The 17,072-nt window shown below is 54.6% G+C and overlaps 1 protein-coding gene across 7 annotated transcripts, besides 2 other annotated features; it reads left to right on the top strand.

Annotated features, from left to right (window-relative positions):
* Positions 1,365-1,865: an enhancer, noted in NCBI's record as "H3K4me1 hESC enhancer chr17:8213553-8214053 (GRCh37/hg19 assembly coordinates)". NCBI's record gives its function as "activates a minimal SCP1, AML or CMV promoter by ChIP-STARR-seq in primed H9 embryonic stem cells {active_cell/tissue: H9 hESC(primed)}" and the evidence as "EXISTENCE:reporter gene assay evidence [ECO:0000049][PMID:30033119]".
* Positions 1,371-13,641, top strand: ARHGEF15 (Rho guanine nucleotide exchange factor 15). 7 transcript variants are annotated; one of them, XM_011523734.3, is made up of 16 exons: positions 1,371-1,473; positions 3,121-3,770; positions 4,052-4,384; positions 4,631-4,685; positions 6,036-6,094; positions 6,196-6,407; positions 6,544-6,704; positions 6,885-7,037; positions 7,149-7,278; positions 9,472-9,591; positions 9,700-9,792; positions 9,880-10,040; positions 10,137-10,289; positions 10,442-10,524; positions 10,629-10,733; positions 11,972-13,641. In XM_011523734.3, the coding sequence occupies exons 2-16, from the start codon at positions 3,170-3,172 to the stop codon at positions 12,121-12,123; spliced, it is 2,571 nt and encodes an 856-aa protein (XP_011522036.1). In that variant the 5' UTR covers positions 1,371-1,473; positions 3,121-3,169; the 3' UTR covers positions 12,124-13,641. The 7 variants fall into 7 exon arrangements, with proteins under 7 accessions (XP_011522036.1, XP_011522038.1, NP_776089.2 ...); XM_011523736.3 differs by having other exon boundaries at positions 10,186-10,289; NM_173728.4 differs by having other exon boundaries at positions 9,517-9,591.
* Positions 4,239-4,740: an enhancer, noted in NCBI's record as "H3K4me1 hESC enhancer chr17:8216427-8216928 (GRCh37/hg19 assembly coordinates)". NCBI's record gives its function as "activates a minimal SCP1, AML or CMV promoter by ChIP-STARR-seq in primed H9 embryonic stem cells {active_cell/tissue: H9 hESC(primed)}" and the evidence as "EXISTENCE:reporter gene assay evidence [ECO:0000049][PMID:30033119]".

Here is a 17,072-nt window from a genome sequence, read left to right on the forward strand (position 1 = left end):
CGATCTCAGCTCACTGCAACTGCCACCTCCTGGGTTCAAGTGATTCTCTCTCCTCAGCCTCCAGAGCAGCTGGGATTACAGGTGCCCGCCACCATGCCCAGCTAATTTTTGTATTTTTTTTTTTTAGTAGAGATGGGGTTTCACCATGTTGGCCAGGCTGGTCTCAAACTTCTGGCCTCAGATGATCCACCCTCCTTGGCCTCCCAATCTGCTAGGATTATAGGCGTGAGCCACGGCTCCTGGGACATTTTTTATTTTTATTTTTTTTGAGATGGAGTCTTGCTCTGTTGCCTAGGCTGGAGTGCAGTGGCAGGATCTTGGCTCATTGCAACCTCCACCTCCTGGGTTCAAGTGATTCTCCTGCTTCACCCTCCCGAGTAGGTGGTAGTACAGGCGTGCGCCACCACACCCGGCTAATTTTTTTGTATTTTTAGTAGAGACAGGGTTTCACCATGTTGGCCAGGCTGGTCTCAAACTCCTGACCTCAGGTGATCCTCCTGCCTCGGCCTCCCAAAGTGCTGGGATTACAGGCATGAGCCACTGCGCCCGACCTCTGCACATTTTTTATTGTTTTCAGACAGCATATTGCTCTGTTGCCCAGGCTGGAGGGCAGTGGTGCGATCACGGCTCACTGTAGTGTCCAACTCCTGGGCTCAAGTAATCTTCCCACCTCAGCCTCCTGAGTAGCTGGGACCACAGATGTGTGCCATTATGGCTTTTTTTTTTCTTTTGAGATGGAATTTCGCTCTTGTTGGCCAAGCTGAAGTGCAATGGCGCGATCTCGGCTCACTGCAACCTCTGCCTCCTGGGTTCAAGCAATTCTCCTGCCTCAGCCTCCCGACTAGCTGGGATTACAGGCGTGTGCCACCATGCTTGGCTAATTTTTTGTATTTTTAATAGAAACGGGGTTTCACTATGTTAGTCAGGCTGGTCTCGAACTCCTGACCTCAGGTGATCCGCCTGCCTCGGCCCCCCTAAGTGCTGGGATTACAGATGTGAGCCACCTCGCCCGGCCTGTCCACGGCTAATTTTTTAAAAATCTTTTGTAGAGACAGGGTCACACTATGTTGCCGAGGCTGGTCCTCCCACCTTGCCCTCCCAAAGTGCTGGAGTGCTGGGATTATAAGGATGAGCAACCACGCCTGGGCCCCTGCAAATGTTATACCTCCCTGGAGGAGACAGACCCCAAGTCCACACTTCTCTCTTCAGTCCTACCTCCTGGCCCTCCCCTTTTCTCTCTCCTCTAACACACACACACACACACACACACACACACACACACACACACACGCCAGACACAATGGCTGGGTGGGGCTGAGGAACTGGCTTCCTCCGCAGAGATCTCAATCTGGGCCCTGAGTTCCCACCCCAGAATCACAGGAACACACACTTGGAAACCTCAGCCCTGCATTCCTCGCTCCAAGGGGCAGACAGGACAGGCTGAAAATAGCAACTGGTTCCAAAAAGATAAAGGTAAATTCATGGGGACCTACTGCAGAGTTAGGGAGGGAAGCCTGCGGGAGGGTCCCTGGGTGTGAAATAGGCGTTGGCTCACACCCGGCTCAGGAGACAGGTGGTGGTGCAAGTCGGGGAAAGATGGTGAGACTCGCCGTGGAGGGACGCACGCAGCATCCCTTAGCTGAGACAGAGGCATCCAGACACCCATGCTGCTCAGCCAGGCTCTGTGCCATTGCCGTCTTGTCCTCATCCCTACCCCTGTCCACCTCACCCCTATGAGCCCCGATCCACACAGCTGTGCAGGTAGAACCTGCGCACACACTTTCCAAGCCTGAATTTCAGCTTTTCCCCAGACCCCTTTAACCTCTGAGACCCTGGATACCTCTGTCTCCTGGGGCCCTGTGTGATGTGCGCATGTGGAGAGTGGTGTGGTTCGTGAGGGGGGGGTGTCCGGTTGGGAGGCGGATCTGATTCCTGTTTCCTGCCCCTACTCACTCAGCCCTGGGAGGTGACTGAGAGTGGAGGGGATTCAAGGGTGAGTGCTTGGGGCCCGAGTACCTGGGTTCCTAAGGGTGGGGTAGGGAAGGAAGTAAATGCAGGTACCCGAGAGGGGGTGGGATCCCTGAGGGGCAGGGGCTGGGGAGGAGTTGGCCAGTGGTCAAGACTACCGTGTGGGTCACTTTGCTAAATGACTTTCTGCCAGAACACAGAGGCCACTGAGCTGCAAGACCCATCATCTACAACCCCCTTGTTCCCCCCTCATCATTTCTCAAGGAGCCAGTCCGAGGCCTGGAGGGGTCTGACTCTCCTGCTGACCCCTGAAGGGAGTTTGGGGGTTCCTCTGCTTCCCAGCCCTGACCCTGCAGCCTTCTTGGGATTGTAGCCTCCTTCCTCGAGGGAGGAAGAGAAACCCAGGCCGCAGCGCCCTGGCCCGACTGGTCCTGTCCTTCGGTTCATTCTCCCAGCCACCTCCCCAGGCCTCTTGGCAAGACCCATGGCTGTGCTGGGCCTCTCTCTGTGACCAGACCCTAGGGCAGGCGGGGATGATCAGACGCAGGACAGGAGAGACCTCGCCAGGACCTCCTCATCTCCGGGGGTCAGAGGCTCCAAGAATCTTGATGGCAGGAAAAGGAGACTAAAAATAATCCGGAAAGGGAGAGTCCGGAGAGAGGAACTGGGAAATGGGGGGCGGAGGGCCAGTGGAGCAGGGAAACAGTGATGCACGCCTCGCAGCCCAGGCCCGGCGGACAGGCGCGCCCACGGCACCCAGACCCAGACAGCGCAGAACACACATGGCACACCCACCCTGGCACCGCTATCTCAGACACTCACACCGAGAACTTCCTAAAGGGCCACACACCACACACCGTATGCTCCACTCTCCCCCTGCACACCCACCCGGCAAGCACAGAACTCGCACACTCACAACACACCATGCCACCCCCTACACAAACCACACACAAACCTCCACAACACACTCCACGGACACACGGTTCAGTGGGCAGACACGGAGCGGCTGTATCCCGTATTGAGTTTTATGGATTCTCTGGAACCCCCACACCAGCCTTCCCTCCTGACTTCAAAATCCTGCCTTCCAGTGGCCCCAGTTTACCCTCCCTGTGGGGCACTAAGGGTCTTTCTCTTTCCCTCCCTCCTCCTCAGGGGATGACTCCAGCAGAGCACCTCACTCCTTTGAAGAGCACAGAGGAAGATGTCAGCCCAGTCCCTTCCTGCAGCAACACCCCCCACGCAGAAGCCCCCTCGGATCATCCGCCCCCGCCCTCCTTCTCGTTCCAGGGCTGCCCAGTCCCCAGGGCCTCCCCACAATGGCTCCTCTCCACAAGAACTACCCCGAAACTCCAATGATGCACCAACCCCAATGTGCACCCCCATCTTCTGGGAGCCCCCAGCTGCATCCCTCAAGCCCCCTGCTCTTTTGCCCCCCTCAGCTTCTAGAGCCAGCCTCGACTCCCAGACTTCCCCAGACTCACCTTCCAGCACCCCCACACCTAGTCCAGTGTCCCGGCGCTCCGCCTCCCCAGAACCTGCTCCCCGGTCTCCAGTCCCCCCACCCAAGCCGTCTGGGTCACCCTGCACGCCTCTGCTCCCCATGGCTGGAGTCCTGGCTCAGAATGGCTCTGCCTCAGCTCCTGGCACTGTGCGGAGGCTGGCTGGCAGGTTTGAAGGGGGTGCTGAAGGCCGGGCTCAGGATGCAGATGCCCCGGAGCCAGGTCTCCAAGCGAGAGCAGATGTGAATGGGGAGAGAGAAGCTCCCCTCACCGGGAGTGGGTCCCAGGAGAACGGTGCTCCAGGTGAGTGTGGCGGGTGGGGGGCGCTGGGTGACCTCAATCCACCCATCTTCTCCGTTTTCAGTGCTAACAACTTTCAGGGGCTACCTTTTCAAAAATGGAGTTAATGTTTGGGATATCTGGTTTCTGTATGTCGGGATTTGAAGGGAGTCAGGGTGGAGGAGATCTATAGATGCCTGGACCTTGATATTGCAGTTGCTGGGCAGGTTAAAGATGGAGATGGTCTGGGCGGGGGTGGAGCTGGGCCCCAAGGGCTTTCTCCTTAGGCTACCTGTCTCCCACAGATGCTGGCCTGGCCTGCCCTCCCTGCTGCCCCTGTGTCTGCCACACCACCCGGCCTGGCCTGGAGCTCAGATGGGTGCCTGTGGGGGGCTATGAGGAGGTCCCCAGGGTCCCCCGTCGGGCCTCCCCGCTGCGGACCTCTCGCTCCCGCCCCCACCCTCCAAGCATCGGTCACCCTGCCGTTGTCCTCACATCCTACCGCTCCACTGCTGAGCGCAAACTCCTGCCACTCCTCAAGCCTCCCAAACCAACTCGTGTCAGGCAGGATGCCACCATTTTCGGGGACCCCCCACAGCCAGATCTTGATCTGCTTTCTGAAGATGGAATCCAAACAGGTGCAGGGCCTGGGGGAGTGGACCTCTGGGCTGTGAGGGGACAGGAGAGAGGCAGGGGGGAACTAAAGCCCAGCAAACTACAATCCCCAACAGGCACTGGGCTCTTTGCTTCCCCACCAGCTGCTGCTCTGGTGCTGAAGAGAGTTGCAGTTTTTATAGTAACCATCCCTGCTGGGGCTGGAGTCGGGAGTCCTGGCTGGGGATCCTGGAGTTTTTTTTTCTCTTCACTCTGGCTTCTCTCTCCAGGGGACAGTCCTGATGAAGCTCCTCAGAATACTCCTCCAGCAACTGTGGAGGGGAGGTACTGAACACCCCCACCCCTACTCCCTGGTTCTCTCCCCACCATGCTTCTACCTGAGGGCAGACTAACCTTCAGCTCCAGCTAAATCCCACCTCCACAAAGGTGAGGGGACAAGGGCCAGGGCTCTAGAGATAAGCAGCCCTTGTTTCGAATCCCAGCTCTGGCCCTTATCAATTCTGTGATCTTATAGAAGGCCGGGCACGGTGGCTTACATCTGTAATCCCAGCACTCTGGGAGGCCGCGGCAGAAGGATCACCTGAAGTCAGGAGTTCAAGATCAGCCTGGCTAACGTGGTGAAACCCTGTCTCTACTAAAAATACAAAAATTAGCCGGGCATGGTGACGGGTGCCTGTAATCCCAGCTACTCGGGAGGCTGAGGCAGGAGAATGGCTTGGACCCAGGGAGATGGAGGTTGCAGGGAGCCAAGAGCGTGCCACTGCACTCCAGCCTGGTCGACAAGAGAGAAACTCCATCTCAAAAAAAAAAAAAATCTGTAGCCTTCCTGGGTCTCAGTGTCCTCATCTGTGAAATGGGGCTAAGCATAGGAACCACCTCATGGAATCGTGGGGATATGATATTGTGAAGAGCCGGGTCCAGAGTAAGTGAGTGCACCATTTTAACTCCCTTCCCTCACCTTGAGCTTCTATTGCAATTATTGTCCGAAAATCTATTTGGCAATCATGACCATCTCTTCTATGCTATCCAGGATTGTTAATTATCTTAGATTCACCATTGTTATCAGAAGTTATCTGTGTCCATTCATTTATTCAACAAACATTTACTAGTGTGGTTTTTAGCTTGGGCGAATGGGGGTGTGGTGGTGCTGATGACCACAGCAGGGGAGATAAGGGGCTGCAGGTGCTGGTGGGAGGTGTGAGAGTTTGCAGTCCATCACGTTGAGCTTCCTTGACACACAAATAGGGCGTTCCAGACAATGGTTGCTACGTGAGACGGCTGACAAGGAGACTCAGAAATCTCTGGTCTGCAATAGTTGACATAAGAATGGGGCCCACTTAGTTCAGGGGCTCCTCTCTAAAAGGCACATAAAAAGATCTGGAATTTGGGCCGGGCAAAGTAGGTTACGCCTGTAATCCTGACACTTTGTGAGGCCAAGGTGGCAGGATTGCTTGAGACCAGGAGTTTAAGACCAGCCTGGGCAACATAACGAGACCTTGCCTTTCCCCTTCAAAAAAAAAAAAAAAAAAAAAGCCTGAGGTTTGATTTGGGGAGCCGTCAGGGTCCCTACATCCAACCTGCACATGGGTTGCCCTGTCCAGCATGAGAACAAGCACCCCTACGGTGGGCAGCAGTGGTGGCCCTGGGGACTTCCTTCCCTTTCTTTCTCCACAGGGAAGAGGAGGGGCTAGAGGTGCTGAAGGAGCAGAATTGGGAGCTGCCCCTGCAGGATGGTGAGGGCCTCTGGACCTGAGGGTCCCTGCTGTGACCATCAAGCAGTGGGGAAGGGTTTGGGAGCCCTGGGCTTCCCTGAAGTGCTATGTTTGCCCTCTAGAACCTCTGTACCAGACCTACCGAGCAGCCGTGCTGTCAGAGGAGCTGTGGGGGGTGGGTGAGGATGGGAGTCCTTCTCCAGCAAATGCTGGAGATGCACCCACCTTCCCACGACCCCCTGGACCTCGCAACACCCTGTGGCAGGAGCTTCCGGCTGTGCAAGCCAGCGGTCTTCTGGATACCCTCAGCCCCCAGGAGAGGCGCATGCAGGAGGTGGGAGCTGGAGGTGGGAGATGGGAGGGGGGTGCTGGGGTTGGGCTGCATGGGTCAGGCATAGGGGAGGAGGGCCCAGGGTCCTAGCTTCCCACGGTGAACTGGGCTTCCCACGACTGCCTGCTTTTCTTTCTAGAGTCTTTTCGAGGTGGTGACGTCCGAGGCTTCCTACCTGCGCTCCCTGCGGCTGCTGACCGACACCTTCGTGCTGAGCCAGGCACTCCGGGACACGCTCACCCCCCGTGATCACCACACACTCTTCTCCAATGTGCAGCGAGTCCAGGGAGTCAGCGAGCGGTCAGTGGCTTTCCGTCCTTCCAGGGAACCTGCCCTTAGGCTGCTGGGCACGCCCTTTCCTCTCTCCCGGGCCCAGGTCCTTCCTTCTACGGACCCAGTTAGTTCCCAAACCTTCTCTCAAGAACCCGGGAGACCTGGCTCTCTGCCCCGCCCCATTGCTTGCTTCCCCAATTCCTTCAGGTTTCTAGCAACGCTCCTGTCCCGTGTGCGCTCTTCCCCCCACATCAGCGACTTGTGTGATGTGGTGCATGCCCACGCTGTGGGGCCTTTCTCGGTGTATGTGGATTATGTGCGGAACCAGCAGTATCAGGAGGAGACCTACAGCCGCCTCATGTGAGTGTCCCAGGGGTGGGGAGGAAGCTGGGGAGAGGGATGGGACCGAGGCCACAGCAGGTTGGGGCACCAGGGCCTCCAGGCAGCCGCTAGCCATGCCTGCTTCTGCAGGGACACCAACGTGCGCTTCTCCGCCGAGCTGCGCCGGCTGCAGAGCCTCCCTAAGTGTGAGCGGCTCCCGCTGCCGTCCTTCCTGCTACTGCCCTTCCAGCGCATCACCCGGCTGCGCATGCTGCTGCAGGTACCTGTCCCAGCTGCGGCCGTTTCTGCCCCACCAACCCCATCGGAGAACTCTCCCGAGGGCTTCTTGGCCCTCCAGCTATCACCATGCACTACTCCACCTTAAACATAAAATCCCCCAAATCATAACTCCGAATCTGGGTCTCTCAGCCTAGGACTCACCAAGTCCTACCTTAGGGGCCCTGTGCTCTTCCCCTTACCTGGACTGCCTCTAGGTCCAGGTGCAGGGAAAGGCCCTCTGGCTGGAGACATGAGTTCCACACCTAGCTCTGCCACTGACTCTCTGAGTGACCTTAGGCAAGTCCCTTCTGCTCGCTGGGTCTCAGGGGGAGTGTGTGAGCGGTTTTTGAGGTTGTCTCTGGCTATATTCTTCTACCCACATGCCTTCCCAGCTGGGGTGGTATCACCCCCAAGGGGGCAAAAATTGGTTCTTTGGGGGTGAAAATAATCTTAGTTATTCCAACAGTTGTACTCCATTAAGCTTTAGTGCATAAACAGAGTTCCAGTAGATCTGTAGAATTAAACTTTCATGGTGAGGGAGATGTTTAGGGAAAATTATCTTAAAAAGGCAACTTAGTGGGGTGATACGGGGGAAAAAAAAGTTTGAGATTTGAGACACTTTCTTCCTCCTCCTCCTCCTCTTCTCCATCTCCTTCTTCGAGACGGAGTCTCACTCCCAGGCTGGAGTACAGTGGCGCAATATCGGCTCACTGCAACCTCTGCCTCCCGGGTTCAAGCGATTCTCCTGCCTCAGCCTCCTGAGTAGCTGGGATTACAGGTGTGGACTACCATGCCTGGCTAATTTTTGTATTATTAGTAGAGATGGGGTTTCACCATGTTGGCCAGGCTGCTATCGAACTCCTGACCTCATGTAGTCCACCTGCCTCAGTCACCCAAAGTGCTGGCATTACAGGCGTGAGCCACTGCACCCGGCCTAAGACACTCTCTTCTATAGCAAAGCAGAGAGTCCTTTCTAACCAGGTCTCCCAATATGGGGATCTTTAGAGCACTGGCACGATCACGGCTCACTGCAGCCTCAAATTCCTGGGCTCAAGGGATCCTTGTGCCTCAGCCTCTAGAGTAGCTGGGACTACAATGCCACCATGCCCGGCTATTTATTAATTTTTATTTTTATAGAGACAGGGTCTCACTATGTTGGCCAGGCTGGTCTTGAACTCCCGGCCTCAAGCAATCCTCCTATCTCAGCTTCTCAAAGCTCTAGCATTATAGGTGTGAGCTACTGAGCCCAGTGAATGAGGGGATCTTTATGTGAAGAGTTCCCAACTAGATTATCAGTGTCTTTATGATCTTATTCAGCTTTATCTATCCCCATTGTAGACAACAAAATAATAATAATGATACTAATCAAAATAGCTCAACAGCTATTAAGCTTTCTAGGAATGGTTCTAAGTGCTATACACCTGTGTAACCTTACCTGCAACTATGTGAGGGTAGGAACTATTACTTGTCCTACTTTAGACATGAGAAAGCTAAGGCACAGGTCACATAACTTGCCTCAGGTCATACAGAAATAATTGATGGAGACAAAATTGTAATCTAAGCACTCTTAGCTACTCTGCTATATTGCCTGCACTAACAGTTTTGGTTAATAATTATTAAAATAATAGGAACCTTCGGGGCAGGCACGGTGGCTCATGCCTGTAATCCCAGCACTTTGGGAGGCCGAGGCGGGTGGATCATCTGAGGTCAGGAGTTCAAGACCAGCCTGGCCAACATGGTGAAACCCCGCTTCTACTAAAAATACAAAAAAATTAGTCGGGCGTGGTGGCACACGTCTGTAATCCCAGCTACTTGGGAGGCTGAGGCAGGAGAATCACTTGAACCCGGGAGGCAGAGGTTGCAGTGAGCCGAGATCGCACCCCTGCACTCCAGCCTGGGTGACAGAGCCAGACTCCGGAAGAAAAAAAAATAAGAACCTTCTTTTCAACATTTAATATGTGCCAAGAACTATGCTAAGCACTTTACATATATTGCCTTCTTGAATCCTCAAAACAATGCTATTGATATGCTAGGTGGGTATTAGCCCCATTTTACAGATAGGGAAGCTGAGGCTCAGAGAGGTAACAGGACTTGCTCAGGGTTCTGCAGATGGTGAGTGATGAGGTCTGTCAGCCTTGTTGAAACTGGCTGAAACAGACAGGGTCCTCTGAGCTGTGGCCCCTCTGAATCCCAGGGCCACAGAGCAGGGGGCCCAGTCACCCTTCCTCCTTGTCCCCAGAATATCCTGCGCCAGACAGAAGAGGGGTCCAGCCGTCAGGAGAATGCCCAGAAGGCCCTGGGTGCTGTCAGCAAGGTGGGCAGTGGGGAAGCTGAAGCAGGGGGAGGTGACAAGGTGGTAGAGAGAAATGGTAGGGAGCAGGGGGCTGGCCGCTGGGGTGGTGACACAGCTCCCCTTACCTAGATCATCGAGCGTTGCAGCGCTGAGGTGGGGCGCATGAAGCAGACTGAAGAGCTGATCCGGCTCACCCAAAGGCTGCGCTTCCACAAAGTCAAGGTACATCGCTGCCCAGGCTCCCCATCTTGCCCTGCCCCATGTTGCTGCTGCCACGCTAGAACCTCCTCTGCCTCCGCTTCCTCGCAGGCCCTGCCCCTGGTCTCCTGGTCACGGCGCCTGGAATTCCAGGGAGAGCTGACTGAGTTAGGGTGCCGGAGGGGGGGCGTGCTCTTTGCCTCGCGCCCCCGCTTCACCCCTCTTTGCCTGCTGCTCTTTAGCGACCTGCTGCTCATCACTCAGCCTAAGAGGTGAGTCCTAGGGAAGGAAGGAGCCCAGGCTGGAGTGGGCAGGAGGGGTCCAGCGGGACCCCTGCTGTCCTTCTGAACGACCTCATCCCTGGGCAGTGGGCAGCGGTTACAGGTTCTGGACTATGCCCATCGCTCCCTGGTCCAGGCCCAGCAGGTTCCGGATCCATCTGGACCCCCTACCTTCCGCCTCTCCCTTCTCAGCAACCACCAGGGCCGCCCCACCCACCGACTACTCCAAGCTTCTTCCCTGTGAGTTGTGTTTCCCTCAGAAAACAACCTTGGGACACTTATCTGACCTCTCAGACCTCCCCCACTTCCCCAGTCTCTCTCTTCTGTGGCTCCTGCCTCAGCCCCAGAGGATCTTTTGGGCCAACTGTGACACTTCCCAATATCCCCACCAGATCAGACATGCAGCGCTGGCTGGGAGCCTTCCCAACCCCAGGCCCCCTTCCCTGCTCCCCAGACACCATCTATGAGGACTGTGGTGAGTATCCCCCTAGAGGGGATGAGGGAAGAAAAAGCGAGTCTTAGAGGAATATGGGGGAGAAGCTAAACAGAATCACTTTAATGTCACCCACCCCCAACCAGACTGTTCCCAGGAACTGTGTTCAGAGTCGTCTGCACCTGCCAAGACTGAAGGACGGAGTCTGGAGTCCAGGGCTGCCCCCAAACACCTGCACAAGACCCCTGAAGGTGAGAAAGTCTTTCATTTATTTATTTTGTATTTATTATTATTATTTTTTGAGACAGAGTCTCATTCTGTCAGCCAGGCTAGAGTGCAGTGGTGTGAGCTCGGCTCACTGCAACCTCTGCCTCCTGGGTTCAAGGGATTCTCCTGCCTCAACCTCCCAAGTAGCTGAGATTACAGGTGCCCACCACCACGTCTGGCTAATTTTTGTATTTTTAGTAGAGATGGGGTTTCACCATGTTGGCCAGGCTGGTCTCGAACTAACCTCAGGTGATCCGTCCCCTTTCACCTCCCAAAGTGCTGGGATTACAGGCATGAGCCTCTGGTGCCAGGCCTTATTTCTATTCTTTTTTTTTTTTAATGGAGGTGGGGGGTCTCACTATGTTGCTCAGGCTGGTCTTGAACTCCCGAGCTCAAGTGATCCTCCTGCCTCAGGCTCCCAAAGTGCTGGGATTACAGGCGTGAGCCACTGCGCCTGGCCGTGTTTCATTTATTCATTCAATAAATATTTATTAAGCACCTACAAAGTGCCACTCGCTGTTCTAGGGACTGTGAATCAAATATATCACACTTCCTTCCTTGCTGGAGCTACGTTCTAGCAGAGGAGGCAGACGATAAAGAATGAGCAAAATAGATAAGTAAATTATAAAGTACATGTGAAGGTTATGAGTGTTATGGAAAAAAAAAAAAGTGAGCAGAGCAAAGAAGGTCAGGAGTTCCAGGGTTGGGCAGACTGAAATTTTCAATAGGGAGGCCGAGGTGGACCTCACTGAGAAGGCAACATGAAGCTTGATGGAGCTAATTTAGGCCCATGGTGTCTGGGGGAAGAGTGTCCCAGCTGGAGGCAGCAGGCAGTGCAAAGGCCCTGCGGCTGGTGTGTGACTGAGGAACTGTAAGGAGGCCAGTGTGACTAGCAGGAGAGAGAAAGGGGGAGAAGCAAATGAGGTCATAGAAGTGGCAGGGATGGGATCACGCAGGACCTGACAGGTCTCTGCAAGGACTCCACCTCTTACTCCAAGAGACATGAGCAGCCACTGCAGGGCTTGACGGAAGAGCAGCCCAGACTCTCTCCGAGCTGCTGTCACCTCCACTTCTGATGCCCTTTCTACCGATGCTCCAGGCTTGTCCATGAATTCCCACACCTACAATGACCCTGAAGGCCTGAGACCCCACGAGGCCCCCTTTGCCTCCTCACCTGCTCCCTGCCCCCACCTCATTGGAGCCTCTGTCTCTCTTCCCCCAGGTTGGCTGAAGGGGCTTCCTGGGGCCTTCCCTGCCCAGCTGGTGTGTGAAGTCACAGGGGAACACGAAAGGAGGAGGCACCTTCGCCAGAACCAGAGGCTTCTCGAGGCTGTTGGATCTTCTTCAGGCACCCCCAATGCCCCCCCACCCTAATGCAGGCTGAGGAGGGGGCACATGTTGGGAGACACCTACCAGTGTGGCACGGAGAGAACAAAGCCCATTCATCCATTGGATTCACTGTCAGTGGAGATACTACCTCTCGTGGCAACCATAGAGATCGAGCTTCAGGACAGAGCAGCCAATGAAAACGGCCGCCTGAACCCACAGCAATAAGAATGAATGAGGATGCCTTGAATGTGTGGCCAATGGAGACAGAGGCTTAGTGCAGAGCAGCCAATGGGTACTGAGCTGGCTGAGCCTATGGCCAATGAGTATTCCTGCTATGCTCAGGGCCAAGGAAGACAAATCTAGGTCATGGCAGTTGAAAAAGGGCCTCATTGGAGATAAAGTCGTAGGATAAAATTGGGAACAGGAATGAGCAGGAAGCCAATCAGCCAAAGAAAATGGTGATCTGGACCCAAGAGACCAGTAGTCACCCTGCTTGTTTCTGCAGCAATGACTGGTCCTGTCTTTTGAGTCTGGGAAATACTAGTTTCCATTCCTGGATGCTTCCTGTGCCCTCTCAAGCCAGTTCTTCTCTTCCAGAAGAATTCAGAGTATGTGTCTCAGAAAATCTGTGTGTGTACATGTGCATGTGTAGATATGTGTGTATATGTATCAGGAAAGGCATTCTGCTGACTGTGGTGTGTGTGTGGTGATTGTGCTCCTGACCCACAAATGACTGAGTGCTCCATTTCTTCCTTTACCCCCCATTTTTCCTATTATTCGCTCCAAGAAAGATGCTAAGTCTGAGCTCCAGAAGAGACTGTGCTGGGTGTGGCTTGGCACCCAGGGGATGAGAGCCCTGAGCTTTGGGTCTCTTGGAGGCTAGGGTTCTGTGGCAGTTGCAGGGCAATGTTATGGAGCAGCCAACGGCCTGGCAGAGGAGCCCAAGGGACTGAAGATGGCCAGTAGCTGGGTCCTGAGGCCCCTGAAGTCTGCAGACCCTTCTCCTTGCCCCAAACACTGGCCTCCATAATTCCTGCCTGCAGATCTCCCAACTTGAACTATAATCCACCAGCCAGCCTCAGCCTTGAGCTTTGGAACCACATTAGATCCTGCATCTGGGTGAAGAAACGGGAGCTGTGGACCACAGGCCAGCCAGTGAACCTCCTGGGCTTTCTTGCCTTTGTCCTGATCCTCTCACAGAAACACTGGGCCAAACAGTGGGGAGAGATTGGAGAGCGGGTGTGGCTGCCCAACCCCATCCAGAGCATCTGCTTCCAGATGAGCCAGTGCCTCGCATGATACCAGAGGAGGCGAGGGACAGAGACAGCAAGGCAGACAGTGGCTGGCAGGGGGGCCCAGGCCCGGGACGAGGCCTCCCCTTCAGCTCAGGCACAGCAACTTGCCCAGGACTGACACTGTCACCCTGACTGCAGGAGGCACAGGGACTCCGGGAGACTCAGAGGGCGAAGAGCACTGGCATTTGGCATGTCCATGACATTGGAGACTCCCCTAGCAGGGTGCCTGACGTGTGGGGAACCCTCAGTAAATAGTGGTGCATTTGTATTGAGGCTCTCTGAGGAAGTGTGTGCTTATAGGAGCAGTGGTCTCCAAGCATGGTTTATAAGGGGATGGGGCTGCTTGGAAAGGGGTCCAGAGCAGGGGTCAATTCTGTTGGGAACTGGGGCTTGAAGGTCATGTGCTAGACCTGAGTGTGTTAGCCCACTCACAGTTCCTGAGGGATCTCAGGTGGTGGTGGTTGTGGCGATGGTGGTGGGTTTGCAACAGCTGTGGTTGGGGGCTGCTGCAGGCTGGGCAATGCCTGGGGCTTTGGCAGGGGATGAGAATGCAGCAAGAAGGATAAAAAGGGCAGTCAGGGCCGGGCACGGTGGCTTGCACCTGTAATCCCAGCACTTTGGGAGGCCGAGGTGGGCAGATCACTTGAGCTCAGGAGTTTGAGACCAGCCTGGGCAGCATAATGAAACCCTGTCTCTACAAAAAATACAAAATTACCCAGGTGTAGTGGCATGCGCCTATAGTCCCAGTTCCTCGGGAGGCTGAGGCAAGAGGATAGCTTCACCCTGGGAGGTCGAGGCTGCAACGTGCCATGTTCGCATCACCGCACTCCAGCTTGGGTGACAAAGCAAGACCTTGTCTCAAAAAAAAAAAAAAAAAAAAAAAAGGGCAGCGATAAAGGCCCTTTACTGACCAGCCAATCATCTCTGTGTTTAATTCAATTATACCTATTTATTGAGTGCCTTCTATGTGCCAGGCATTGTTCTAGGATCTGGGGATACAGATATGAAAAAGACAAAGTCCTTGCCCTCAGGAAGCCTTCATCCTGAGGGTGAGAGGTGACAGGGACAATTACCATGTCAACAAATTAATAAGTAAGATAAGATCAGGCCAGGCATGGTGGCTCACCCCTGTAATCCCAGCACTTTGGGAGGCTGAGGTGGGCGGATCTCTTGAGGTCAGGAGTTCAAGACCGGCCTGGCCAACATGGCTAAACCCTGTCTCTACTAAAAATACAAAAATTAGGCCGGGTGCAGTGGCTCATGCCTGTAATCTCAGCACTTTGAGAGGCCGAGGCGGGTGGATCACCTGAGGTCAGGAATTCGAGACCAGCCTGGCCAACATGGTGAAACACTGTCTCTACTAAAAATACAAAAATTAGCTGGGCATGGTGGTACATGCCTGTAAGTCCCAGCTACTCGGGAGGCTGAGGCAGGAAAATCCTTTGAACCTGGGAGGCAGAAGTTGCAGGAGGTTGCAGTGAGCCGAGATAGCGCCATTGCACTCCAGCCTGGGCGACAGGGCGAGATTCCATCTCATAAAAACAAAACAGGGGCCGGGTGCAGTGGCTCATGCCTGTAATCCCAGCGCTTTGGGAGGCCAAGGCGGGTGGATCACCTGAGGTTGGGAGTTTGAGACCAGCCTGACCAATATGGAGAAACCCCGTCTCTACTAAAAATACAAAATTAGCCGGGCATGGTGGCGCATGCCTGTAATCCCAGCTACTCGGGAGGCTGAGGCAGGAGAATCGCTTGAACCCGGGAGGCAGAGGTTGCAGTGAGCCGAGATGGCACCATTGCACTCCAGCCTGGGCAACAAGAGTGAAACTCCATCTCAAAAAACAAAACAAAACAAACCCTCCCCTCCCCAAAAAAAAACAGCACTAAGATAAAATCAGTAAGCAGTAAGCAGAAAATACAGCAAGGGCTGTGGCATAGAATGTTGTGTGTGTATGTTTTGGGGGAGGGTGGTGGCTTTAGGGCAGATCCTGGAAGAGATGACATTTGAACTGAGACCCAGATGACTTCCAGAGGAAGTAGCCCTGGGAAGATCTGGGGAAAGAGCATTCGAATGGAGGCAACAGGGGGCGATAGTCCAGGAACAGAAGGTAGTGGTAGTGGGGATGGGAATTGGTGCACGTGCCCCTTCAAGTGTCCTGGTAGGTGGAGCCCCTCCCCACCAAGGTCTCCCTCCCTCTTTGGCATAAGATGGAGACACACTGGGATACTCAGACAGACAGACATCCGGGGGCAGACGTGCCCCATACACCTTCTCTCCTGGCTCCTCATCCCTTACTGGAGTCCTGCCACTAAGGAAGCCCCCATGCTCCAATTCAGATGTTCTGATGGTGGGATAATGGGGAGATGCCGACCAGGTAAGGGTTATTTTGGGACATAAAGGTGTATAAAATACAACCATATGTTCCAAAAGAGACTGAGAAGACAGGAAGGGAGGGGACTGCCATGTTTCCTGACTTTTGGGGGTTGGATTCTGTTATCTCAGAGCCTGCTTTCCATTTTGGGGTGACCTGAGTGTGTTTGTCCTGGAGGGGTCTGCATTCTGCTGGCCTGTCTAAGGGGGCCGAAGGGCATGAAACACAGCTATATGGGAAAGGAACGGATGTGGGGGAATGAGGACTACAGCAAGGAGAGCGTGGATAGACAGAAGATGGGAATGGGGATGGGGTAAAGAGGACAGAAGAGGGAGGCTGATGGGGGGTGTTGCAGGACAGGTGGCAGGAGGTAACTCAGCTCATTCCAAATTGTCTCCCTCCCTCTCCCTCAGGCATCTCTGCTATGGGTGTCCAGTGTCCCCTCCCTTCTGTGTTCTTCCTGCCCCTCTGGGTTGCCTCCTGCAACTTCCTCATAGGTGGCGTAGGAGGGCCCATGGGAGAAACCTCTCAGCGGTGCCCTGTCTGCGTTCCAGGCATGCTGGTGGGGGTAGTACAGAGAGGTTCACTGAGTCAGCTGGGGAGTCCTAGAGCCACTATCACCTTATTCCCTCACAGTCTATCATGCTGGGGAGGTGGAAGAAACCAACATTTCCACAGGCTCAGGAAAGGTGCAGGCGTCCCCGGGGGGAGATGCCTGAGGCGACAGGGTGGGAAAGCTGGCCCCAGTTGGGGACCTTTCTCTGAGTCAGTGTGGACACTCTTCACCCGTGGCCCTGCTCCTCATAGCTGAAGCCTCCATATTCTGGGAGTCAATTGTCAACCTAAAAGGAAGAGGCTGAGGCACAAAATATGGTTGAAAGAGTTTACTTGAGCCCAAGGGGGCCGGGCATGGTGGCTCACGCCTGTAATCCCAACACTTTGGGAGGTCGAGGCAGGTGGATCACCTGAGGTCATGACTTTGAGACCAGCTTGGCCAACATGGTGAAACCCCGTCTCCACTAAAAATACAAAAAATTAGCCGGGTGTCGTGGTGCCCGCCTGTAATCCCAGCCACTCGGGAGGCTGAGGCAGGAGGATCCTTTGAACCCAGGAGACAGTGGTTGCAGTGAGCCAAGATCGCGTGATTGCACTCCAGCCTGGGTGACAAGAGCGAGACTCTGTCTCAAAAAACAAAAAACAAACGAAAGACAAAGGGAGGACGGCTGCCAGGAAGACTCAGACCCAAGTAACCTTGGATATGAGCTCCATTAGGGCTTTGTTACAAGCAGGTTTTCAAAGGCAAAAAAGGGGGACAGGGAGTGGGCTGTGG

The sequence above is a fragment of the Homo sapiens genome, chromosome 17, assembly GCF_000001405.40.
Source record: "Homo sapiens chromosome 17, GRCh38.p14 Primary Assembly".
Taxonomy (NCBI): domain Eukaryota; kingdom Metazoa; phylum Chordata; class Mammalia; order Primates; family Hominidae; genus Homo; species Homo sapiens.